Source organism: Homo sapiens, chromosome 12 (genome assembly GCF_000001405.40).
Source record: "Homo sapiens chromosome 12, GRCh38.p14 Primary Assembly".
NCBI lineage: Eukaryota > Metazoa > Chordata > Mammalia > Primates > Hominidae > Homo > Homo sapiens.
Genome location: NC_000012.12, coordinates 32,512,332 through 32,540,123, shown reverse-complemented (window position 1 = coordinate 32,540,123; position 27,792 = coordinate 32,512,332). Strand labels below are relative to the sequence as shown.

The following is a 27,792-nucleotide window of genomic DNA, read 5'->3' as shown; positions in this document are numbered from 1 at the left end:
GCATGACTTGTTACCATTCTGTATCAAAATGGTCAATTTTAGATAAAAAGTTACCAGAAATACCTTTTTTCCTTGATATTTCTTATTTTGCTATTTTACACTCTAAATTAGTAACTCTGATGGAAATAAATTTAAAAAAAATTTACTGGGCAATATTAGAGAAAAACATGATATTTCTAATAAATCAGTAACTACTGATAGACATTAAGGGGCTTACACATTTATAAAATAACAAAATTATTTTCAAGCTTTGTATAATTTCTTTTTGCTATAGTCAAAATTGATTCCATATTTCTAAGAAGTCATGTAATCTAATAATGTATAATTACTATTCAGATCAAGTATATTATCAAATAGCAAACAGCAGTTCATAGATTTTAACTGCATTTGGGGAAGGGAACTTTTTTTTTTAACATTAACTGTTGGCTACAGATTTTAAAATGCAGGTCAATTTCCAATTATCTAGATAAATTTGGAAATAAATTACATGAAGTGTAAACACAAATAATTCTTACACTTTAATTCATGTACTGGCTTTTTTTTTTTTCCCCCCTGAGACAGAGTTTCGCTCTTGTTGCCCAGGCTGGAGTGCAATGGCGCGATCTCAGCTCACTGCAACCTCCGCCTCTCAGGTTCAAGCGATTGTCCTGCCTCAGCCTCCCAAGTAGCTGGGATTATAGGCATGTGCCACTACGCCCAGCTAATTTGATATTTTTAGTAGAGATGCGGTTTCTCCATGTTGGTCAGGCTGGTCTTGAACTCCCAACCTCAGATGATCCACCCACCTCAGCCTCCCAATGTGCTGGGATTACGGATGTGAGCCACCGCACCTGGCCCGTGTATTGGTTTTCTATTCCACATCAAGCCTTACAGGAACTACTAAGGAAATATTTCTAGATTATTTTTTATTCAATCGTTTTACTTTTCCTATCACCCTCCTACAAGAGTGCTTCAAAGAGTGAAATGACTTAAATGTAGGAAGAGAAAAAACAAAAAGTGGGGCAAGTATATCATTAATATAAAATATTAAGGACCTCTTTTTCTTATTTATTTTTATCTTTTTATTTATTGAGACAGAGTCTCCCTCTGTCACCTAGGCTGAAGTGCAATAGCACGATCTCAGCTCACTGCAACCTCCACCTCCTGGGTTCAAGCAATTCTCCTGCCTCAACCTACTGAGTAGATGGGACTACAGGTGCGTGCCACCACGCCCAGCTGATTTTTTGTATCTTTACTAGAGACGGAGTTTCACGGTGTTAGCCAGGATGGTCTCGGATCTTCTGACCTCATGATCTTCCCTCCTTGGCCTCCCAAAGTGCTGGGATTACAGGTGTGAGCCACTGCGCCTGGCCTAAGTACATCTTTAATAGCAAAAAATCTTGGCCACAATTTTCTCCACACAGACAGTATCGCTCCAGATTTCTTGGTTTCACACCCCAAAGCTTCTCCCTCATCTCTTTTCTGTCTTACGACACAGCCCATTAATTAATCATCCAAAATCATGTACGGGCTCAGCCACAGATTCCAATCTCACTAACCCACTAACCCCTCCATACTTTCTTCATACTTCTTTATATCAACTTGGCCTGTGAGGCTTCCAATAGCAGGAACTCATTATTGACATGCTGCTCAACAAGGGACACCAGAGGTTAGCAAGCAAGGATATTTATTCTTAAAAGAGAACTGAAGGGAAGAAATGGAGAACACTACAAATATTTATAATTTATTAAACTTCTTATATTCCTGCTCATTTTACATTTCCCAACAGAAAAAGGCACTGAATATTAGAAATGTATTCAATCAACAAATATTAACAAAGCACCCAGTATCTATTAGTTACCTTTCTAGACCCTAGGAACATAGCAGTGAACACCACAACAAAAAAATAACCTGTATAACATGCTAAATGGTAAAAGTGCTATGATGGGCCAGGCACAGTGGCTCACACCTGTAATCCCAGCATTTTGGGAAACCAAGGCAGGTGAATTGCTTGAGCTCAGGAGTTCGAGACCTGCCTGGGCAACATGACAAAACCCATGTCTCTACTAAAAATATAAAAAGTAGCCAGGCATGGTGGTGTGTGCCTGTAAGTCCTGGCTACTGTGGAGGCTGAGGTGGGAGGATCGTTTCAGCCTGAGAGGCAGAGGTTGCAGTGAGCCAAGACTGCGCCACTGCACTCCAGCCTGGATGACAGAAAGACTCTGTCTCAAAACAAAACAAAACAAACAAACAAAAAAACTGCTATAACGAAAGTAAAGCTGGGTGAAGGAACAGGCGTGCTATTAGGTGAGAGGCTATTATTATATCCTATATACAGGGAGGACAAGGAGGTCTCACTAATACTCTGCTAGCTGAGTAGACATGAAGGGAATAAGGCATAACATATTTTGAGGATTAGCATTCCAAGCAAAGTGTAAAACTACAAAAATCCTAAGGTAGAAGCACAGTTGATATGTTCAAAGAGAAATAAGGAAGACAACATGGATAGACTAGGGAGCATATTTGATGCTGAGGTCAGAAAGTTAAGGGGTAGGGATAGGGATAGGGGCTAGAGAAGGTAGGGCCTTGCACATCATTGAAAGAACAGGGGATTTCCTTTGAAAGAGATGGGAATTCACTGAAGGACTGCGAGCAGAGAAGTGGCAATTATCTGCCCTCCGTTTTTAGAGGTGCACACAGGCTGTTAGGTAGACAATGGACTCCAGGAGGTCAAGGGTAGATAGGAGGCTAGTAGAAGCAATCCAGGGGAAAGCTGTGTGTAACCTAAAGCAGGGCAAGTAACAGTAGAGGCAATAAGACATAGTCAGTTTGATATATCTTGAAGCAAGATTTGTTGCCAGATTGTACATAAGAGAAAAATGACTCAAGGAAGACTAGGTTTTTGGGACTAAGCATAAGAAATAATAACTGCTTTATGGCCAGGCGTGGTGGCTCACGCCTGTAATCCCAGCACTTTGGGAGGCCGAGGTGGGCGGATAATGAGATCAGGAGATTGAGACCATCCTGGCTAACACGGTGAAACCCTGTCTCTACTAAAAATGCAAAAAATTAGCCGGGCATGGTGGCGGGTGCCTGTAGTCCCAGCTACTCGGGAGGCTGAGGCAGGAGAATGGTGTGAACCCCGGAGGTGGAGCTTAGCGCCACTGCACTCCAGCCTGGGTGACAGAGCGAGACTCTGTCTCAAAAAAAAAAAAGAAAAGAGAGAGAGAAAAAAAAGAAATAACTGCTTTATAATGGCATGGAAAAGACAAGACCACAGTGACACAGTCTTTTTTGTTTGTTTGTTTAAATGTTTTAAAAATGTATTTGTGTGTACTTATTCTCTAAGAGGGTGAAAGACTCATTTTCCCCAGGCCAAGTTTTATTATAATAACCACCATGTAGAATGACCAAATTCTACGATTAACACTATTTTTCTTCTCCTAAGTGTTTTCCTTCTGCCTGCTTCAACGTATAACCAACTAACTTGTGTCAATTCGCCAGGGAATAAAAATGGAAGGATCTGTTCTAGCCAGAGCTTAGCAGGTGCTGTGGTGGGAGATAAATCAGAGAACACACACAAACCAGGGTGAAGACATTTACAAATGTACTTTAGCCAATAAAAATTAGCTTGTTATTTTATAAAGAAAACAGGTGCCTACAGTAAAGGTTATCAGAAGGTGGCTCAGGAAGTGGGCAGGGATGGTCCACAAAACATCTAAGAAAATACCTTTTTATTTTTGAAATAAATGACTTCAACTTTTCCCTGGATTATTCCAGGAGTCTCCTATCTACTCTTGACCTCCTCAAGTCTATTCTAGTATCTAAGAAGAACTGATTAAATTTAAATCTTAATCCTAGTTTGCAGTTTAGGTTACATGTACATTTGGATGTTTATTAAAGGAACACCAAGTTATCATTCTTCCAAAGAACTGCATAATATTTCCTATTGAGTCATTCATCATACTCTATCATATTTCATTTCTTTCATGTGAAAGGAGTTTGCCTGAAAGCGTAAGCTTTAGAAAGAGAAGTTTTTTCAGGTCATTAAAAAAAAAAAACTGTTATAAAATAACATGTGCACTAAATATGCATATTTACAATTTTTCTTAGATGATTTAACAAAATTATCCAGTAGTGTAGGCAGGAAGTGCTATATTACTGTCTTCTCAGTTTAAAAACCTAAAAAGGAACTTATAAAGTCCATATTGTTGTAGTGGCCACTCTCTAAAGGGTGCTGTCCATTAAAGCAGAAAACAAGAGCCAACAAGTTCTCTATGTTTATCAACATTCACCTCTCAAGCTTCATCTTCCTGTTCTAGAAATATTTTCCTCTCTAATTAAGAGCTGCCTTCCAGGAGGGAATACTGTCTCTCCAATCATCTCTAACTGTTTGAAGATAAATGAGAATGGACAGAAGCTATTTCAGGAAAAAGAGAACCTAAAACTTCACTGCTTGGGGTGAGAAAACACTTCCCTTTTGCTGCATTTCTTTTTTTTTTTTTAATTTCATATTTAGAGTATGATGGTAAATTTTGGAGAGATCACAAGACCTCCAAACTTTATGCAAGAGTGGTGGAACGCCTGCAAAAGAATTCAGGCTTCTGCCTGAGTGATGGAGGGAGCAGGGGCAGGCATGGACTGGGCTGCTTAACCCTCCCGCAGCTACTAGAACCTGGGAACGGAGCCAGCTGTGCAGCTGCAGGAGTGGCGCCTCAGCTCTCCTGAGGCAGTGCTGTCACCAACCCCAACCTTGGGCTTCCACACTCAGCGTATGCCCCTGACACTTAAGGAAGGAAAGAGCCACACCACCATCAGAAAGAATACTGGTAACTGTGAAGGCTGCCGGTTCTAAGTTGTAGTTTATCTTGTTCAGCAGTGTGGACATTTTTCAGTGAGGCTTATATCCAGTCAAAAACGAATGGGAAAATAAACAAAATGAACCCATTTCAGTGATTAAAAATATTTTTAGCAGACATTTCCCGTCACATGATTACATTTCTATCACACAGTTGAATTACATTTCTATTTCAAAGACTCAATTTCTCATTAATATGCTCTCTACAACACTCAAAGAGACCACAGTGGCTTAATACTACTACCACTAACAATTTTTAAAAAACAAACTCATGCCTATCTCTACAATGTTGTCTTTTACAGAAAAACAAATAATACTTACTCCCCTGAACTTCACCAAAACAAGACTGGGATGGTGGGAATTTTTGTTTGTTTTAACAGAACAATGCTCCGTGCAGTAGCACTAGAAAAATGATTAGTGGTAAATATTTCTTAACATTTGTTCACACCAGAAATGGGAGGAAAAAGAGAAAACTGTTCCTTTCTTTCTCTATATTTCTCCCCTCAATGACCAAATTTCCAAACTTTACTTATGATAATAAAAATAAGCCAGAGAAACTTAACTATCAAACTCATTTGTATCTGGTTAGCCCAGAAGAAGCCTCCTGGAGAGCCAAAACCCATCAATAGCACATATTTTAATCTTGAACTTGAAAACCAATGTGAGCTTTATTAACTTTAAAAGAAAACCAAACTCTGCCACTTTTACATCCCTCGGCATGCAGTGTTATAAAGTGACCCACGCTGGGGAAGAAAAAAATATATCTACTAGAAAATGAAACCACTTACCTTGATCAGTGGACATGATTTCACATATACTGATAATTAATCTACTCTGGTTTAATAAAAAGATATTTGGCTTTACTCTTTTAAAGTTCATGTGATAAAATCTCACTCCTGGCTGTAAAGCTTCAGGGAGGCTGAAGATTACACAGGATCTGCCAGGAGCTCAGACCAATGCACTATGACTTCAGTGCATTCTTCGAACTTACTGCCCAAGGACGACCTTATGCAAAACATGCCACACCTCCCCAGAGGACGGACTGCTGCAGTACATTGCATGAGAGGGAGTGTATGAGCACAGAGAGACTTCTATTTATCAAAGTAAAGTAAACAACTGAGGCACATGGAACCTTTAAAAGCATTCAAAGTACAGCTGGGAATAGGGCGATTTCTAAATGGACTAATGCCTTAACTATTAGTAATGCTCTAAAAAAGCTAATGGGAAAACAGTTTGTTTCTATTTTAACAGGGCTCCTGCCCTGGACCAAAGATGTTGGTTACAGATTCATGATTCACAAGCTTAAGATGTTAAAATCTCATTTTGAATGACCTCAAATATCCCATTTATGTTTTCCTTTCCAGCATAGCTCATTGATTTCAGTGACTAAATAATACAGAATTAATAAATACTACATACAAATTTCCTAAGGAAAACAAGTCGTATATGTTATTTCAAAACATAGTTTAACTGGTAAAATATTTATTACTCATTTTTATCTGTCTTTATAAGTACATTAGTAATTTCTCATGGCCTTGAAAAATCAGAAAATGTCAGATTAAAGCCAGGCGCGGCGGCTAACGCCTGTAATCTCAGCACTTTGGCACGCCGAGGTGGGTGGATCACCTGAGGTCAGGAGTTCGAAACCAGCCTGGCCAACATGGTGAAATCCATCTCTACTAAAAATACAACAATTAGCCGGGTGTGGTGGCATGCACCTGTAATCCCAGCTACTCAGGAGGCTGAGGCAGGAGAATCGCTTGAACCCAGGAGGCAGAGGTTGCAGTGAGCTGAGATTGCGCCGCTGCACTCCAGCCTCGGTGACAGAGTGAGACTCCATCTCAAAAACAAACAAACAAACAAAAGAAAATGTCAGATTAAAATATTTATAAAATCATAATGAGTTAACAGGTTACAGACATTCTCCCTCACTGGGGAAAATAACCTCTCCAACCCCCTCCTCTTTGTGTCCAGACACAGTAGTTCCCTCTCTCTAGTGTGCACTTGAATCACCTACTGGGTTATCAAGACATACATCACTGAGTGCCCTATCAAAGTCAGATTCAGTGCATGGTGGGGCCACATAATTTGCATTTCTAACAAGCTCCCAGGTGACAGTGACACTGCTGACCTGGGCCTTCACTCCAGGAATCACACTTTGAGAACCACTGGGGCAGTGAATTGCTGGGTTAGGGAGGATTAAAGGACTTGCTAAATTGCACACCTGCTAGGAGCTGATGGATGTCAGGCAGGAGCCAATACAGTGCTGAGGATGAGGTGTGAGGGGTTTGTTCTCCCACTTCAACACAAGCTCCCCATCAGGACACAAAGGTTGTCAATCATTCTAATGAAAGTGGTACTTTTTTAATAACAGAAATGTGTATATAAGGCATAAATAAATAAGCTTTACAATTAATCTGATACAGAATAGGGTAATAGTACATGGAGAAAAAAGTCAAAGAGAAGAAACCTGAATTGTTTTTAACTCCTTTGCAAACTCCACCCATATGTGTTAAAATTTCACTGTGGCAGAGAATCTGTTTAGGTTTGGTTCCAAGACCACTTAGCCTTAGCAAATTTCAGTAATGTAAAAACCAGAATACTTCCCTGTCACAAAAATGCCCCAACGTCTGTCTGTACTTCCTGAGCTTTGATAGCAATGTTTAAATTGTAATCTCAGGTTTGGTATTAAAACAAACACTTTAAAAAAAAAAAAAGCTAACATGTGCTCTCTGCCCATTGCTATGTTAAGCATTTTCCATGTAGAATTTCATAAAGTCCTTATTGCAGGGTAATAATTTATCACCATCTTACAGAAGAATATCACTCTGTAAGGTAGTGTTAATTTATCACCATTTTGCAGAAGAGAAAACTAAGTTTAGGAGGTCAAAAATCTTGATCACTCATGCTAGTACAGTGATAACCATTAAGATATTAAATTCACTGTTGTACAACAAATTAAGATATAATGGTATAGCAGTCACCCTTTACCTGTGATCAACTTCAGTCTGAAAATATTACATATAATATTTTGAGAGAGATACCACATTCACATAATCTTTATTACAGTATATTGTTATAATTGTTCTATTTTATTGCTATTGCTGTTAATCTCTTACTGTGACTAATTTATAAATTAAACTTTATCATAGCTATGGATGTAAAGGAGAAAACATAGTATATATACTGTTCAGTACTATATGCAGTTTCAGGCATCCACTAGGGTCTTGAAATACATCCCCTGTGGATAAAGGGACACTACTGTATTCACTTTTAATCTTTATAGATGAAAGCCAAAAATCAAAACATGGTTTGCAGGAGAAAGTGATAACTAAAATAAAATATAACAATTATGATTGACTCTCAATTGCCCACAAGTGGACAATCTGTAATAATCTGCAGCATCTACCACAAACTTAACACTAAATTCTAGGCTACCCAATAGGAGCAATAGCAGTTTCTCATCAGGTGGGAATGCACTTATCCTATGAGCCAGCAATCCTAACTCTTAGGTACTTAACCTAAGTAAAAGGAGGATTTACATTGACAAAAAATGTTTACAGAGCCTTTATTCATAATCATCCAAAACTAGAAATACCCACTTGTTCTTCAAGTAGTGAATGGGAAACAAACTGTGGTACATCCACACAATGGCATACCACACAGCAATAACAAGGGATGAACAAAGATACCTGCATGTGCATTAGAAAGAAGCCAACGTAAAGGGCTACACATATGTGATAAAATGAGACACTCTGGAAAAGACAAACTTACAGGAATAGTAAACAGATCCAAGGTTGCCAGGGCTGGTGGTAAGGGAACTGACTTTTCATAAAACGGCATGACAGAATTTTGGAACTAAAGGGACTGTTCTGTATCTTCATTGTGGTGGTGGTGGTTATATGACTGCGTGCATTTGTCAAAACTCAGAATTGTACCCTAAAGAGGTTGAATTTTAATGTATGTAAATTATCTTTTAATTTTAAAAAATTTAGAAGCAAATAAAAGCAATTTATTCATTAAAAAAGAGGCTAGGAGGGCCGGGTGGAGTGGCTCACAGCTATAATCCCAGCACTTTGGGAGGCCGAGGCGGGCGGATCATGAGGTCAAGAGATCGAGACCATCTGGCCAACGTGGTGAAACCCTGTCTCTACTAAAAATACAAAAATTAGCTGGGCATGGTGGCACGCGCCTGTAGTCCCAGCTACTTGGGAGACTGAGGCAGGAGAATCGCTTGAACCCAAAAGGCAGAGGTTGCAGTGAGCCGCGATCGCACCACTGCACTCCAGCCTGGCGACAGAGCAAGGCTCTGTCTCAAAAAAAAAAAAAAAAAAAAAAAAAAAAACCAAAGCTAGGAAACTGATTGTCATAGATAGTGTAAACTCAACCCTAAATAATTTTTGGTATATCCACTATGCTCCTCATTGTCAACAGTAGAGATAATCACTAATCCATTTTCTGTGATTTACAAAAAACTTGGCAAATTTATTAAAAGTGATCTAATTAATTCCCCATACATTATCCATTTGTAAAAGCTGAAGTTTATGATACCATATCAAAAGGGATCTATTAAATAAATATGTTTAGTGATTTTAAGGTTGTCATAGATATCAGTCTTGAAAAACACCTAAAATCCATGCCACTGAACTCACAGCTATTCATAAAATACCTCCAGCTCTGAAGACTTAGTGGCTATCATCCAGCCCTTTCACCTCTCCCTCCTTGTAGCAATGTTATTTTGATACACATTGCACTGAATAAGAAACTTACCAACTTCTGCCAAACATTCACGTGATATTTCTTTTTTTGAGATGGAGTCTCTGTCACCCAGGTTGGAGTGCAGTGGTGCGATCTCAGCTCACTGCAACCTCCGCCTCCTGGGTTCAAGCAATTCTCATGGCTCAGCTTCTCTAGTAGCTGGAATTATAGACACGTGCCACCAGGCCTGGCTAATTTTCGTTTTTTTAGTAGAGACAGGGTTTCACCATGTTGGCCAGTCTGGTCTCAAACTTCTGACATTGAGTGATCTGCCTGCCTCAGCCTCCCAAAGTGCTGTGATTACAGGCATGAGCCACCATGCCCAGCCCACATGATATTTCATAATAATGTTTTTTATTATATTAAATTTTAAAATAAAAGCCTACCTATATTATATTCAACAGCTTACCATTTTCCATGGAAATGATCTGAAATCAAGAATTTTATAGGCAACCTGCACTTCCTGGATTAAAACCTATATATCTACAATGTTTAAAAATAAAGAAGTGAATAAAAACTATAAATCTACAATGTTTAAAAATAAAAGGAAGCCTAAGTTGTTTGCCTTAGCATTTTTATTTAAACCTAACTGGCACATTAGCTGTCATATAATTGAAGACTTCCCAATTAACCTAACATACTATTGGCAATGTCAGCTTTTTTTTTTTTAAATTTTTTTTTTTTTTTAGACAGAGTCTCACTCTGTCACCCATGCTGGAGTGAAGTGGCTCAATTTTGGCTCACTGCAACTTCCGCCTCCCAGGTTCAAGTGATTCTCCTGCCTCAGCCTCCTGAGTAACTGGGATTACAGGTATGGGCCACCATGTCTGGCTAATTTTTGTATTTTTAGTAGAGATGGGGTTTCACCATGTTGGTCAGGCTGGTCTCGAGCTCCTGACCTCATGATCCGCCCACCTCAGCCTCCCAAAGTGCTGGGATTACAGGCGTGAGCTACCGTGCCCGGCCGGCAATGTCAGCTTTAATAAATTATGTACAAATAAGCATATACTGGCAAAAAAGTAACAGGAAAATTATTCCTAGTAAATGTTAGTATTTAACTAACAGATCAGATAGAAAATGGAGTAGGAAAACATAATGGAAGTAGGCCAGGCGCGGTGGCTCACACCTGTAATCCCAGCAGTTCGGGAGGCTGAGGCGGGTGGATCACAAGGTTAAGAGATCGAGACCATCGTGGCCAACATGGTGAAACCCCATATCTACTAGAAATTCAAAAATTAACTGGGCGTGGTGGTGCGCGTGGTGGTGCACGCCTGTAGTACCAGCTACTTGGGAGGCTGAGGCAGGAGGATAGCTTGAATCTGGGAGGCGGAGGTTGCAGTGAGCCAAGATTGCGCCACTGCACTCCAGCCTGGGGACAGAGTGAGACTGCGTCTCAAAAAAAAATGATGCATAATTTCCATTTTGCACGTCTCCGAGGCTTAATAAAATGAGGCATAGAAATTCTTGAACGTATGCCAAGTAAATCCTGTTGCTTGAATATTTTTGTACCAAGCCATTTTTGTACAAATCTTCAAAGCAGATGTATTATCCTTGAACATCTATTTATATTAAAAATAATTAATAAAAAAGTTTTCTATCACCTCTTTAGTTATATGTTCACTTATAGTCACACACACACAGAGTACAGCTGGCCTCCAAATCCAAAGTTTCTGCATTTGCAGGTGCAAGCAACTGTGGATCAAAAATATTCAAATACAATTTCAAATAAAAACAAGACAACAACAAAAAATATAAATTTTAAAAATATAACTACATAGTGTTTATGTTGCACAGTATTAAATATGAGCAATCTAAAGATGATTTAAAGTATAAGAGAAGGGCCAGTGCAATGGCACACACTTGTAATCTCAGCACTTTGGGAGGCTGAGACAGGCAGATCGCCTGAGGTCAGGAGTTCGAGAACAGCATGGTCAACATGGTGAAACCTCATCTCTACTAAAAATACAAAAAGTTAGCCAGGCGTGGTGGTGCGCACCTGTAATCCCAGCTACTCAGGAGGCTTGAGTCAGGAGAATTGCTTGAAGCTGGGAGGCAGAGGTTGCAGTGAGCTGAGATTATGCCACTGCACTCCAGCCTGGGCGACAGAGCGAGGCTCCGTCTCAAAAAAAAAAGTGTAAGGGAGGATGTGCGTAGGTTATATGCAAACACTATGCCATTTTATATAACAGACTTGTGTAAGCAGATTTCGATATGAGGGTGATGGTCCTGGAACCAATCCCCCAGCCCCACATGCTGAGTGACAACTCGGTACTGTTAAGAAGAAACTTTACTAGCCCAGTGCGGTGGCTCACGCCTGTAATCCCAGCACTCTGGGAGGCTGAAGCGGGAGGATTGCTTGAGCCCAGGAGTTTGAGACCAGGCTGGACAACATGGTGAAACCCTCTCTACTAAAAATACAAAAATCAGCCAGGTGTGGTGGGATGTGCTTGAAATTCCAGCTACTTGGGAGGCTGAGGCAGAGGCTGCAGTGACCTGAGATCACAGCACTGCACTTCAGCGTGGGTGACAGAGCAAGACTGTCACCAAAAAAAGAAAAAGAAAAAGAAAAAAGAAAAAGGAAATTTTATCTGTAATGTCATCTTCCCTTGATTCTCTTCCACCAAAAAATATATAATACTAGAGAATAAAAACATTATACTAATCTAAATTAGGAAATTGATCCCTAAACCCCAATTTACAATCTCTCTGATCTTATCTATAAGGATTTCAGTTGGTAATACTTTCTCTTTCAGCATTTCCTCTCACCGTGGTTGACTTACTACATTAAAATACTAAGATAGGCTGGGCGCAGTGGCTCACACCTGTTAATCCCAGCACTTTGGGAGGACGAGGCGGGTGGATCACAGGGTCAGGAGATCGAGACCATCCTGGCCAACATGGTGAAACCCCATCTCTACTAAAAATACAAAAATTAGCTGGGCATGGTGGCACGTGCCTATAGTCCCAGCTACTCGGGAGGCTGAAACAGGGGAATCACTTGAACCCAGGAGGCAGAGGTTGCAGTGAGCTGAGATCGCACCACTGCGCTCCAGCCTGGACAACAAAGTGAGACTCTGTCTCAAAAAAAAAAAGTCTGGCCAGGCTCTGGGAAGAAACCGATTCTGGATGTGTGTGGTGCCCCTGGTCAAGTGAGGGCAGGACTGCAAAGGGAGCTCACCATCCTCACTCACTGCTTCTGTCAGCATTCCACAGGCTAGGCTCCCTGATAGACACCCTTCGACGTGTATGTTTAGATCAGCCTGACATTAAACACTGCGTAATATCCCACAGTTTAACTCTATCATAATTCACTTAATTAACAAACATAATTTTATTATTTTTTAAAAGAGCATCCTAGTAAATTTCTCCATATCTGCACAAGTATTCTTTTGGATAGACTACCAGATATGGACTTCACAGCTCAATGGTATATGAATTTCAAATTTTGGTAACTTACCGAAAACTTTACCTTCCAAAACATATCAATATATATCCTCTCTGCCCTTTACCATTAATCTATACTAGATTATTAATTTTTAAAATCTTTACTGTTAGCTGGGAGAATATGGATAAGTAAATTTAAAGTATATTCATGCGACGTAATACTATATCTGAGTTAAAATGTGTTCGGAATTGGTGGGTTCTTGGTCTCACTGACTTCAAGAATGAAGCCACGGACCCTTGCGGTGAGTGTTACAGCTTTTAAGGCGGGGCATCTGGAGTTGTTCGTTCCTCCCAGTGGGCTCGTGGTCTTGCTGGGCTCAGGAGTGAAGCTGCAGATCTTCGCGGTGAGTGTTACAGCTCATAAAAGCAGCATGGACCCAAAGAGTGAGCAGCAGCAAGATTTATCGCAAATAGCGAAAGAACAAAGCTCCCACAGTGTGGAAGGGGACCTGAGCAGGTTGCCAATGCTGGCTCGGGCAGCCTGCTTTTATTCTCTTATCTGGCCCCACCCACATCCTGCTGATTGGTAGGACCGAGTGGCCTGTTTCGTCAGGGCGCTGATTGGTGCGTTTACAATCCCTGAGCTAGATACAAAGGTTCTCCACATCCCCATCAGATTAGTTAGATACAGAGTTTCCACACCCAGGTTCTCCAAGGCCCCACTAGAGCAGCTAGATACAGAGTGTCGATTGGTGCATTCACAAACCTTGAGCTAAACTCAGGGTGCTGATTGGTGTGTTTACAAACCTTGAGCTAGATACAGAGTGCCGATTGGTGTATTTACAATCCTTGAGCTAGACATAAAGGTTCTCCACGTCCTCACCAGAGCAGCTAGATACAGAGTGTCGACTGGTGCGCTCACAAACCTTGAGCTAAACACAGGGTGCTGATTGGTGTATTTACAATCCCTGAGCTAGATATAAAGACTCTCCATGTCCCCACCAGACTCAGGAGCCCAGCTGGCTTCACCTAGTGGATCCCGCACCGGGGCTGCAGGTGGAGCTGCCTGCCAGTCCTGCCCCCTGCGCTCGCATTCCTCAGCCCTTGCGTGGTCGATGGGACTGGGCGCCGTGGAGCAGGGGGTGGTGCTCGTCGGAGGCTCGGGCCGCACAGGAGCCCATGGAGTGGGTGGGAGGCTCAGGCATGGCGGGCTGTAGGTCCCGAGCCCTGCCCCGTGGGAAGGCAGCTAAGGCCCGGTGAGAAATCGAGCGCAGCACCGGTGGGCCAGCAGTGCTGGGGGACTCAGTACACCCTCTGCAGCCACTGGCCCGGGTGCTAAGTCCCCCATTGCCTGGGGCCAGCAGGGCTGGCTGGCTGCTCCGAGTGCGGGGCCCACCAAGCCCACGCCCACCTGGAACTCCAGCTGGCCCACAAGCGCCACACGCAGCCCCGGTTCCCGCTCGTGCCTCTCCCTCCACACCTCCCTGCAAGCTGAGGGAGTGGGCTCCGGCCTTGGCCAGCCCAGAAAGGGGCTCCCACAGTGCAGTGGGGGACTGAAGGGATCCTCAAATGCCACCAAAGTGGGAGCCCAGGCAGGGGAGGTGCTGAGAGCAAGCGAGGGCTCTGAGGACTGCCAGCACGCTGTCACCTCTCAAAAGCAAATGAACTACAGCTACACATCAACATAGGCCATTCTCACAAACAATGTGGAATGAATAAAGTACACAGAATAAAGTACAATTCCAGTTACATATAGTATATACTTTTAAAACATTCCAAAATGTTGTTATGGACACATAGCCATATGTGGTGTGATGTTATGATTTTTGTCCACAGTTCTGGTTCATAACTCTCACAGCCTTGTTATGAGGCTGGGGCACTTTACACCTCAGAAAATAATCTCTCTCTTTGCCCTCCTTGCACCTGCCCAAGCCAGGACTCTAATCTGATTGTTGGGTCACAAAACCCTCATTCTGGAGAGGGAGAAAAGCAAAGGTACACTAGACAACAATTTCAGGATGGCAGATACCTCTGGTGGGGAGGCATAGGGAGTAGAAAAAGAAAGAAGAACACAGGGGCTTCAAATGTATTGGTAACATCCTAATTCTTGAAGTCTGTTTTGCTCTTGTTCTTTAAACAATCTTTAGAGACATATACATAAACACACAACTTAGTATATGCATAAGATATTTCATACTGAACAACAGCACCTCATTGTTTAAATTTTGTATTTTCCTAATCAACAATTTCTATGTTTATAAATGTTTATTAGTCATTTTTAAAAAGCTTCTGTAATCTCTGTGCTCATTTTTTTTTTTTTTGAAACAGTGTCTCACTCTGTCACCCAGGTGGATCGCAGTGGTGTGATCACAGCTCACTGCAGCCTTGACCTCCCATGCTCAAGCAATCCTCCCACCTCAGCCTCTTAAGTAGCTGAGACTACAGGCACATGTCACCATGCCCAGATAATTTTTCATTTTTTTGTAGAGTCAGAGTCTCCCTGTGTTGTCAAGGATGATCTCAAACTCCTAGGCTCAAGCGGTCCTCCCATCTTGGCCCCCCAAAGTGCTGGGATTGCAGGCGTGAGCCTGCCACATATTTTTTTCTGTTTTTTTTTTTTATTTGAATTATAGCTGTCTTTAAAGGAGTTCATATCACAAATATTTTCTCCAAATTTGTTATGTTTCTTATCAAATCTTGCTTTTATACTAATTCCAGGTAATTTATCTTTTTTTTTTTTTTTTTTTTTGAGACAGAGTCTCCCTCTGTCGCCCAGGCTGGAGTGCAATGGCGCGATCTCGGCTCACTGCACCCTCCTCCTCCGGGGTTCAAGCAATTCTCCTGCCTCAGCCTCCCGAGTAGCTGGGACTACGGACTGACGCCACCACGCCCGACTAATTTTTTGTATTTTTAGTAGAGACGGGGTTTCACCGTGTTAGCCAGGATGGTCTCGATCTCCTGACCTCGTGATTCGCCCGCCTCGGCCTCCCAAAGTGCTGGGATTACAGGCATGAGCCACCGCACCCGGCCAATTTATCTTACTTCTAAGCACAAACATGGTGTTTAATTATAACTATTATTATCTTTACTATTAATTTCTTTGGATTCCAGTAGATCAGTGCCAAGTGGCTATTCAAACCGGAAGAACTATGTATTTTCTCTTTTTTGAGACAGAGTCTTGCTCTGTCGCCCAGGCTGGAGTGCAGTGGCAGGATCTCAGCTCACTGCAAGCTCCGCCTCCCGGGTTCACGCCATTCTCCTGCCTCAGCCTCCAGAACAGCTGGGACTACAGGTGCCTGCCACAACGCCCGGCTAATTTTGTTTTTGTATTTTTAGCAGAGTCGGGGTTTCACCGTGTTAGCCAGGATGGTCTCGATCTCCTGACCTCATGATCTGCCCGCCTCGGCCTCCCAAAGTGTTGGGATTGCAGGCGTGAGCCACCGCACCCGGCCCAGAGCTATGTATTTTCTGAATGTAAATCATTCACTTAAATGCAAGCAGATAAAAGTTTATTTCTCTTCTCTGCTCCATCCCTCCGTGTCAGTCCCTTAGCTTCATCCACCTGCAAACAGTAAATGCGTTGTGTAGCATTTTAGAGTCCTTTAACCCCATCTCTTTCATCCATACCTACCATGACAGTCCTCGGTCCACCCATATACAGTTCTAGTTCTGAGGTTGTCATGTATTGCTAGCTTAAAACTACTACATTAATGAGTACAGAGTTTCAGTTGGGAAGGATGAAAAAATTCTAAAGATGGATGGTGGTGGTGGCTGTACTACAATATAAATGTATTTAATGCCACAGAACCACACACTTAAAAATATTCAAAATAGTAAATGTCATGCACATTTTACCACACTTTCAAAAACTGCAAACATTCTCTGCCATAAATTTATGCTCCCCAACCTCAGCAGCCTCTCCTTGCTTCTTCCCAGCTTGTATGCTCATGCTTAGTCAACTCTATGATAGATACTCCACTGCTTGTACTATTCCTCTCTGTTCTCTTTTTTCACTCTCTGCTCTGGGGAACAGACCCGGGAGGGGGTTTACAGCTACTCCACTATGCAGAAGATTCCAGTACCAAGTTCCCTTTTCAGTTCATGCTCTCCTTCCTAAATGTCCAGATAGCTACCTCCTTCACTGAAGAAGGGAAGATTGAACTTTATGTTGAAGGATAAGTAGGATTTCATTAGGCATCAAAAGGAGGGAAAGGATATTATTTCAGGCTTTGTAGCAAGGAAATTGGTGGCAGACTTGCAAACACTGTGGTTTACAGAAGTGTTCATCAGTGCCTGCCAAAAGCCTCAGTGGCTGCATACTGCACTTAGAACGCAATCTCAATTTCACAGAAGGCCTGAAGGCTCTACCCCTCATCTCTTGCCACTTTGCTTTCAAAATATGGTTCCTAAACCATGCTCCCTCTATCAATCACCCAAGGTTTTGAGAAGGAAGTCAAGAAAAAATGTTTTCATAAATTTCCACAGGAACCTATTATTTTTTCCAACTTTGAAATAACCATGCAGCTTCCAGAAAAGGCTCCTCTGAGACTTCAAGAAAATAAAACGTTAGTTCTGCCCCTGCCAGGTCACACAAAGGATAAAGTACAGTCAGTTACTTGCTACTAACTTGAGAGAGAAGAAGGAAGGCTTTCATTTCTCTATTTTTTGATGAGCTGCCTGATCCAAATTTCTTCTAATTATCATCTTCCTTCCCCCAAGACCCTAACGCACAGCTTGCTGGGGTAACAGCAGCAACTTGGGCCTTTTGTGTTGGCCCGAATATTCTTAAAGGCCAAATTCAGAATGTGGAAAGAAAAGATACCCTAAATATAACGAGGATCTTCCTGTCTTTTGCAAATCATCCACTCTACGTATCCACCCCCACCCACAACAGATAATGATAATCTTACACATGCAGTTTCTTTTTTAATACAATCTCAGAAGTATATTACAGTAATAATATTCCAAAGAAAAAAGAATATTAGTAGATGCAAATTTAGTCAGCTTTTAAATATCTTTGTAAGTTACTGAATTTGTGGTAGGAAATAAGGTCAAAGATAAAAAGGGAACTAATTTTTTAAAAAACAGCTCATTTCCATCATATGCACGTTTAAATGGGTACTAAATAAATTATAAATTTATTTGCTTGGAATTTTCTAATTATTATTTTGGCAATCTATATATTGTCAACTTTAGTAATCATGTTGAAACAAACAGGTCTTCGGTACTATGCTAAGGATTATAAAATACCTATATAGCCTTTAAGACACAACAGTTCATCAGTAGTGGAACTTAAATAATCTCGTATTAGTAAACAGTTCACTGTTCATGGAGTATGGCTTATCTTCATCCTCTGCACAGGATAGCAGAGGCAAATGTTATTTGCCACAAATGGGTAAGGATTCGAGTTTAAAACAGCAGAAATTAGAGTAACCTATGGCAAACTAGAAAACAATATTTTTTAAAGTAAATGCTAAAACTCAAAAACATTTAAAATCCCTTCTAAAGATGTTGTATTTGTTTATTTACAAAGAATTACTGAGCCCCATATGGGACTCAATATAGTATACAGGACACATTGTTAGGGACTTGGGAATGTTTTTTATAAAGTCCTGCCCATCAGTTCAGCCACACCAGCTTTTTCAGTTCCTGTGACGTTAAGGTCTCTACATATGACTAAGTCTAATTATTCCCTGTGGGTTGTTTCCTTTGAACATTTCTTCACAAACGTAATTAAATATTCATGCAATGTCCTTTTTTTTTTTTTTTTTTGAGACGGAGTCTCGCCGTCGCCAGGCTGGAGTGCAGTGGTGCGATCTTGGCTCACTGTAACCTCCGATTCCCTGGTTCAAGCAATTCTCCTGCCTCAGCCTCCCGAGTAGCTGGAATTAGAGGCATGCCAGCTAATTTTTGTATTTTTAGTAGAGACAGGGTTTTGCCACGTTGGCCAGGATGGTCTCGATCTCCTGACCTCGTGATCCACCCGCCTCGGACTCCCAAAGTGCTGGGATTACAGGTGTGAACCACCGCGCCCAGCCTGCAATGTCCTTTTTTCTAGAGGACAGGGACCCTGTCTGTCCTGTTCATTATTATGGCTCCCATGCACATTGTTTTCAAACACTTTATACAGTCTCATTAAATAGTTCCTTCTCGAGGAACCAAAGGGAGAGCAAACAAGTAAAATAGTAATTGACAAGTTTGGCTGAGGCTCTGTGACTGCTGGAGGTACAGAGCGGAGGGTAAGAGAAGGCTTTCTAGAATACTTTATCTCTAAACTTCTTGAGGGCACATCCCTATCAGAATAAATCCTGGGCATGCATCCCCTAGTATGCATATTCGCACACAATGTAGGTAAGAGTTAGATACAAGCATTCCTGTATTAAGATACACACTTTAAAACACAAAAATAGGCCAGGCGCGGTGGCTCATGCCTGTAATCCCAGCACTTTGGGAGGCCGAGGCGGGTGGATCACGAGGTCAGGAGATCGAGACCATCCTGGCTAACACGGTGAAACCCTATCTCTACTAAAAATACAAAAAAATTAGCCAGGCGTGGTGGTGGGCACCTGTCATCCCAGCTACTCAGGAGGCTGAGGGAGGAGAATGGCGTGAAACCGGGAAGCAGAGCTTGCAGTGAGCCAAGATTGCACCACTGCACTCCAGCCTGGGCGACAGAGCGAGACTCCATCTCTAAAAAAAAAAAACAAAAAACAAAAAAACCCACAATAGAACTTAAAATAGGGCAAGGTAGAGGTAAAAATACTATTGTTAAGAGAACAATGTGACTGAATCTGCTTGTTTTTAAAAAATCTTTTAAGGTAAATGCTAAAACTCAAAAACATTTAAAATCTCTTTAAAGCTCTTGTATTCGTTTATTTAAAAAGAAATTGTAAAATATTTCACAATACAGCAATTTGGAAGAGTAAATCTATCTCAGTTTACTTCCATACTTAGTTTCAATGACTGCCATGAAGAGAGATTCATCGTCCTAAAGGGAAGAAGTCTATCACTGGATGCACTTACTAAGTCACAATACCTATTTTTAAATACCATCTACCAGTTATACAAAGGTTTTTCTCAAAATTATTCTGGCAAATTTCCATCTATAGTAATATCTCAGAAGATATTACATTATTTTTCAAAACTTACTCTAAAACATACTAAAACTATTCAAAGATTTTTTATTTTATTTTATTTTGAGATGGAGTCTTGCTCTGTCACCCAGACTGGAGTGCAGTGGCATGATCTCAGCTCACTGTAGCCTCTGCCTCCTGGGTTCAAGTGATTCTCCTGCTTCAGCCTCCCAAGTAGATGGGACTACAAGTGCACACCACCACGCCCAGCTACTTTTTGTATTTTTTTCTTTTTTAGTAGAAACGGGGTTTCACCATCTTGGCTAGGCTGGTCTCGAACTCCTGACCTCAAGTGATCTGCCTGCCTTGGCCTCCCAAAGTGCTCGGATTACAAGAGTGAGCCACCGTGCCCAGCTTTATTTTTTTATTTTATTTTATTTTTAAGCAGAGGCAAGGTCTTGCTGTGTTGCCCAGGCTGGTCTCAAACTCCTGGCCTCAAGTGATCCTCCTGACTCAGCCTCCCAAAGTGCTGGGAGTTACATGTGTGAGCCAGTGCACCTGGCCGAAGATTTTAAAAGACAGTTAAAAAGATCTGTATGTAAGTTTGAGTGTACTTGCAGAAATAAGTTTTTTAAAAAATAAGATTTTAAAAATAAAAGATACATCCATTGTAGTGATAAAATTACACAATAATGGAACATTTCCAAACAATCATTTCAAAAATGCTCTGTCTATAGTGTACTTTTCTGCTGCTCCTGATTGCAGTTACTTTCTAACTCATTCAAATGTCACCTGTACCTCAAAGGGACAGACTGTGTTTTCCAAATATATCTGCTAAGTAAGAACCTGCTAAATATTTACTGACAGACACTTGTCTTCACATGAAAGGTTAGCAAATGGGCACATGGTGGGGGCGGCGGTGGGGAGGCTTTTTTTTTTTTTTTTTTTTTTTCCTGAGACGGAGTTTTGCTTTTGTTGCCCAGGCTGGAATGCAATGGCATGATCTTGGGCTCACTGCAACCTCTGCCTCCCTGGTTCAAGCGATTCTCCTGCCTCAGCCTCCCGAGTAGCTGGGATTACGGGCATGTGCCACCACACCCGGCTAATTTTTGTATTTTTAGTAGAGACAGAGTTTCTCCATGTTGGTCAGGCTGGTGTCGACCTCCCAACATCAGGTGATCTGCCTGCCTCGGCCTCCCAATGTGCTGGGATTACAGGCGTGAGCTGCCGTGCCTGGCCCTTGTTTTTTTTTTCTTTTGTAAAGAAAAAGATGTAGTATCTTTAGTCTCACAACTTGTTTAAATATCGTGCCATTAAATAGCTTATGATGTTTGTGGTCACTTATTACCAAGTATTGCCAGAATTCCACTATCTAAAATAACATCATCTCAGTCCACTTAACCAGCCATGCTTAAAATGCCATGGACACAAAAACAGACAAGTGAGCTTGCATTGTCCAGTCTCTGTTCTCTCCTCAGAATTCCATACATATACCATATAGATAGATGTATCTGACACATAGATGGAAAAAAATGCTAGAAAAAGGACAAAAATATTAGGAATGCCAGGGCTGGTTTTTTGTTGTTGTTTTTTGAGATGGAGTTTCACTCTTGTTGCCCAGACTGGAGTGAAATGGCGCTATGTTGGCTCACCACAACCTCCGACTACCGGGTTCAAGCGATTGTCCTGCCTCAGCCTCCCAAGTAGCTGTGATTACCGGCATGTGCCACCAGTATCGGCTAATTTTGTATTTTTAGTAGAGACGGGGTTTCTCCGTGTTGGTCAGGCTGGTCTTGAACTCCAAGGTCTAGTACCTGCTTCCTGCTCTCCAAGTGTTCATCTTTTGCACCCTGTAGGGCACACCACCCTTCATAGAACACTGCTCCATAGAAGGCATCTCCTAGAATGTAGGCAGTAGTCATGTTCCTAGACAGATAGTCTTTCACAAGAATCTTGTACATGTTGTCTACACACGTCAATCCTGAAGTTAGTCCTAAAACTTAGTAAGTCATAAAGCTGACATAAATATGCTATAGCACCAATGTTAAAACTATGATGATGGCAGAAAGTAGGCAGAATAAACAGTAAATGTTACATGCAAAAAAATACTAACGATATTGGGGGTTGGGTGGGAGGGAATCTCCAAAATGATTTCAAGTTGAATTCTTCCAAAACTTTTTTTTTTTGAGACAGGGTCTCACTCTGTCACCCAGGATGGAGTGCAGCAGCATGGTCTCGGCTCACTGCAGCCTCAACCTTTCAGGCTCAAGCAATCCTCCCACCTTAGCCTCCCAAATAGCTGGGACTACAGGCACATGCCACCATGCCAAGCTAATTTTTTTGTAGAGACAGGGTTTCACCTTGTTGCCCAGACTGGTCTCAAACTCCTGGGCTCAAGCAATTCTCCTGCCTTGGCCTCTCAAAGTTCTAGGATTACAGGAGTGAGCAGCTGTGCCTGGCCCTAAGACTAATCATATCTCCTACACATCAGTCTAGATACGAAGACTACCTAATCCTGTAGTTTGATTCTGGGACATCAACTATGATACTGAAAATTTCATTAAACTAAGGATGACATTAAATTCTAATGTAAAAGTAATGATAATTTAATAAGGATATATGTGTAAAAAATTAATCTCCATATAATAAAGACACAATTTTTTTTTAGACTTTGACCAGAAAAAAATGGCTTTAAATTATAAAATCCAGTGCTGAAGACATCATTACCTCAAGCACTCACAGTAGCAGGTAAATTGAAATGACAATTGAGAAGGCAACATGGTAATACCTGTTGCATGCCAGAAAACTGCGTATCATCCACCTGTGACGCCTGGGCAAGCTATCCTAATCAAAGAGCTATATGCATAAAGATGAATGTAATGCCATTTAAAACAGAGAACAATTAGAATTAACCTAACAGTTTAACAAAACTATTTTTATAATTATACTCTGGCACCCAAAACAAGCTCAGCTCAAAGCACAAAGAAGGCATACAAATACTTGCTGATTTGAATGTGTTAATAAAGAAGCTTCACTAAGCATCTAGGAACTTTTTGGGTACCCACTAACTATGCTAGACCTGAAATTGCCCGATTTAAATTATCATCATTTCCAGATCTACTACAGTATTACGGAGTGATATTCCTAATATTATGTCTTAGATATGTATTCATTAGATAAAATTACCATCTTAAATCAAAGTGCCAAGTTTCCCATTCTTTTCCTCATTTAAATAATAAATTAAACTTTTGGTACCTTCATAGATCAGTGGCATTTTACTGGAAAATAATTTTTATTCTTATCATTTACAAACAACTCACCTAATAACTACCCTGGGATTTTACCACATAAGCCACCATGCCTGAGATATTTATTCTGTTAAAATAAAACTTTATTCTATGTTAAATGTGAGAGTTTATGCCAAAAGTGCCAACAGACTGCTTCATCATTTGCACATTTTACAGTTTACATATGCATCAATGTAAGCATATATATTTACAACAGATAACTTGTCAGTGACACCATTACCATTATTTCTATTAATCAAGATGCTGTCTAAAAGTCCATGGATACTCAAAGTAAATAGGAAATACTGATGATACTAACCACAACTTAAAAAGGGAAGTTAGGCCAGGCATGGTGGCTCATGCCTGTAATCCCAGCACTCTGGGAGGCTGAGATAAGAGAATCGCTTGGGCCTGGGAGTTTGAGACCAGCCTGGGCAACAGAGTGGAACTCCCTCTCTATAAAAAAAATTAAAAAATTAGCCAGGCATGGTGGCGCACACCTGGAGTAATCCTCCTGCCTCAGATGCTCAGGAGTCTGAGCAGGTGAAGGCTGCAGTAAACTGACTGTGCCACTCCACTCCAGCCTGGACAACAGTGAGATCCTGTCTAAAAAGCAAAAGGGAAATTAGTTCCAGTTTGCTGCCTAATTCTAATCACCTGAAATCCCCCACCCCCCAATTGTTGTTGTTATTTTTCTCCTGGTTTCTGAGAATGGTTTTGCTTTTGGCAATTTTAGTTATTACATCATGCACTAATTTGGGATTAACAGTTTGTTATTTATTAAAATCAAGTTACTGGTTGAAGACTGGGTTCAATTTCTTCAATACGATTGTCACGTTTGTTGAAAGCTTATTTGCCTGCCCTTTTAAAAGGTGTATTGCATTCAAAACCATAGTTTTCAATTTATCCTATCTTCCTCTGTGGGATTTTGGCCCATATCCATCCCTGATCATTTTTATATTCAAAAGACACAAGTACCTACATATATCTGCAAAAATACAGTTTCCATCTGCCCATGTCTCTTTTATCACTTATGTAAAGGAGGTATAGGCAGTTCATAATTAATTCAAGAGGAAACAAGGAAATGAAGTTGTTTGAAGTGGCACAGCATGTGCAATGCTCAATGTCAGTGCAGATATCTGAAAAGAACAGGAGGGGCAGGCAGGAGAGCAGATTTTCAAGCCAAAACAAATATGTATTTTAAAATAAGATTTTGGTTTCATTTAAAAAGATTATTTATTGTTGATTGTAACTCAGCCCTACGGTCTATGATACATTTCAAATTCCTTAGTGATTCTCAAACACCTTAGGAAGTCTGCTTAAGACTCATTCTTTTCCTCATTGCTTCCATTAGGTGCTTTATCTAGCACATTCTATCTGCTGGGCTTTGTGCAATCATCTGGGAGCACAACAATGACCAGGACAAAAACCCATGACCTTCAATGGCACCCAATCTAATCAGAGAAATCTGGACAAGAATGGAGCAAGAACCACAAGATTTGAGCAGGAGCTGTGGAATTCTCCTTATTGGAGTGGGGCCCTTTCCAGAAGCAGGGACAGTGGAGCTGGAGCAAGGTGGTATAGTCCCTGTTCTAATCCCATGGTGTTGTGCCACTCCTTATCTTCCCATTGTTGAAATGGGATTGGTAATTTTAATAAGTTCCTTTAAAGTTTTCCTTTAGCCTTAGTTCTGTTCAATCTAAATGTTAGTATGGGTTCTGTGCTGAGCCAAAAGCTGGGGATATAAGGTGAGTAAAATAGTTCCTGGGGCTGGGAGTGGTGACTCAAGCCTTTAATCTCAACACTTTGGGAGGCTGAGGCAGGCAGATAGCTTGAGTCCAGGATATCAAGACCAGCCTGGGCAACATGGTGAAAACCCCATATCTACAAAAAATTAGCTAGGCATTTAGCAATATGAAATTTATTTTTGGTTAAGGTATGCATCCCTTTTAAACAAATGGATAATACATTTTCCCAACAATGTTTAGTAAACAATCTGCAATTCGGGCCATTGATTTGAGATGTCAACTTTATCTTACATTGAATTTTTATAAATACGTAAAATATATCCTTTAATAAAATACATCCTTTCTGTTAAAAAAAAAATTAGCTAGGCATGATGGTGTACACTTGTAGTCCCAGCTACACAGGAGGCTGAGGCAGGAGGATTGCTTAAGCCCAGAAGTTCGAGGCTGCAGTGAGCCACAATCACGCCACCGCACTCCAGCCTGGGAGACAGAGTGAGACCCTGTCTCAAAACAAAAACAAAAAGCTTCCTGGCCTCAGGAACACAGTCTATTTGGGGAGAGAGACAAGACAAGAGCCAACTGAAAATACGTTAATGATAGATAAAAATCATGAGGGCTTCAAGAGCTCAGAGAAGACTAACGTGGCTGAGGGAAAAGGTTTATTGGGAAAGTGGTATATAGTTGAGAAGCCCAATTAACACTGAAATACTTCCTTCTTACATTTCAAAAAAAGAAAACCAACATCTTATGGCCATTTCTTGCCTCAACATTCATACTGCTTCTGTATTGTATAACTGAAATGTCTATCACTAAACAAACTGATTGACTGGATAACATGAATATATATCCATTAGTTTTTCTAAGTTATATTGTGAGCTCAGAAGATCCCTGTTTTATTCTCTGCTTTCACCGTACAGCAAGGGTACAGTCACCTGTTGATAGGCAACAATTAATTTTAAATGGTAGAGAGGTATAGAATTTGAAGTGTGATGTATGAAGAGAAACTGGAAGTTTGCTTTGAAATATTTGATTTTCTTTTTATTGTTACACTTTACTTTTTCATAAAAGGGAAACTAATACTGTTTATCAGACTATGAATATATTGGATTTCTATGGTATTTATTTGCAAAATTGTGAAGAATACAAATTTCATACATACATTTAAACCAGTTATTATAAACCGGTGATGAGGTATTTACTGCAGTTCCTGAGGCAAACATAGGATCCAAGTCTGCTTCCCTCACAGTATTCCTTATATTAGCCAATGATGCATCATCTAGCCAACTATCCAAGCTGGAAACTTCAGAGCTGTTCCTGACACTTTCCACTCCTTTACCCCATCTACACATCCAATTAATCACTAAGTCCTGGCACTTTTACTCCTACAATTTCTCAATTCCTTCTCTCTTGTACATCCTTGTGCCAGTCTTAATTCAGAGGACTCATCATCTTTCTCCTGTACCATCTGCTCCTCATCAAAATGCTAAAGCTCCTGCACCTTGCAACCTTAGCCCCTCCTCCGCAGTTCCATCAGAGTCATCTTCCCAAAATGTATAAAGAACCATGTTGCCTGGCAGCTTAAAAATTTCAGAGAGCTCCCTCCACGGCTCACTGGATCATGTCCCACACCTGACTTACAGTTTAGACTAACATAATCTGGTGCCATTTATCTTACAGATTCCAACCATTCCACTCCTACACCTAATCCCAACACTCTAGTTAAACCAATTTCTTATATTCTAAACAACTATGATTATTTTACAGTTTTCAAGCTTTTATGTGTGCTGTTCCCTTGATATGAAATGCCCTTCACCATGTAGATCTTACCTCCTCCTAAAATCTCCAAGGTGACGTATTTCTGATTGCCTGGCCTGGCCATGAGTCCTCCCTTCTCTCTGCGCAATCACAGCACTTTGCATGTACCTTTGTACAGTATTATGACCTTGCATCATACATTGTAGTTTCTAAAGTGAGCTTACTGAAAGCAAGACTGTATCTTTATTGGCCCAGCAAAGCTTTGGACATAAACCCTTAAATGTTTAAATGAATGTCCAGGTTGCCTGGATAAGTATATAAATCTACCTAACTTTGATGTGAGGAGACTCCATTTCATCTATTCTCCACTAGAAATTTTATGCAGATACCATGCCCTTCCCTCTTTCTGCCAAGGTTTACAAACAATAAAAAGCCTTTCTGAAAGGTATTACGCCTCTGAGTAATTAAGAGAAATAGCTCTGGATGGTTGAGAATACAGGCTCTTCACTTCCATGTGGCCAAAATAACTCAATTTTTCCTACTGTTAAAACATATATGCTCCCTAGGAGAGAAAGAGGTGGGCCCTGGATCAGCCTGTCTCCAATCAACTCTGCATTTCAGGCAGGCAAGCTATTGGATTTACTGGCTGCTCACCCACCTGGGTCTTTCCAAGAGATGAAACCACTACCCTGACAATTTTCTGTGACAAGGTGGCAGTGACAAAACCTGATAGGGGCTTGGCGTGTGAGTCCCAAGTGATGTAGCACCAGAAACTGAAGGCTGAGACTAAATGAGCTCAGAGTCATGAACAAGCACTCTACTTTTTTTTTTTTTTGAGACAGAGTCTTGCTCTGTCCCCCAGGCTGGGGTGCAATGACAGGATATCAGCTCCCCGCAACCTCCATCTCCCAGGTTCAAGCGATTCTCCTGCCTCAGTCTCCCAAGTAGCT

The 27,792-nt window shown here is 41.0% G+C and overlaps 1 protein-coding gene across 19 annotated transcripts in view, besides 1 other annotated feature; it reads right to left on the bottom strand.

The window, feature by feature from the left end:
• FGD4 (FYVE, RhoGEF and PH domain containing 4) overlaps positions 1–27,792 on the bottom strand; it is a 246,493-nt gene that overhangs the window by 105,927 nt on the left and 112,774 nt on the right. For 4 of the 19 annotated variants that reach the window (NM_001385118.1, NM_001384128.1, NM_001384130.1 and 1 more), the window contains exon 1: positions 5,626–5,802. The exons of the other annotated variants lie outside the window; for them this stretch is intronic. The gene's annotated coding sequence lies outside the window, so the exon portion shown is untranslated. Of the gene's footprint in view, positions 1–5,625; positions 5,803–27,792 lie in introns of those variants that run through there. 19 annotated transcript variants of the gene reach the window in all.
• Positions 16,236–16,736: an enhancer, noted in NCBI's record as "H3K4me1 hESC enhancer chr12:32676322-32676822 (GRCh37/hg19 assembly coordinates)". NCBI's record gives its function as "activates a minimal SCP1, AML or CMV promoter by ChIP-STARR-seq in naive H9 embryonic stem cells {active_cell/tissue: H9 hESC(naive)}" and the evidence as "EXISTENCE:reporter gene assay evidence [ECO:0000049][PMID:30033119]".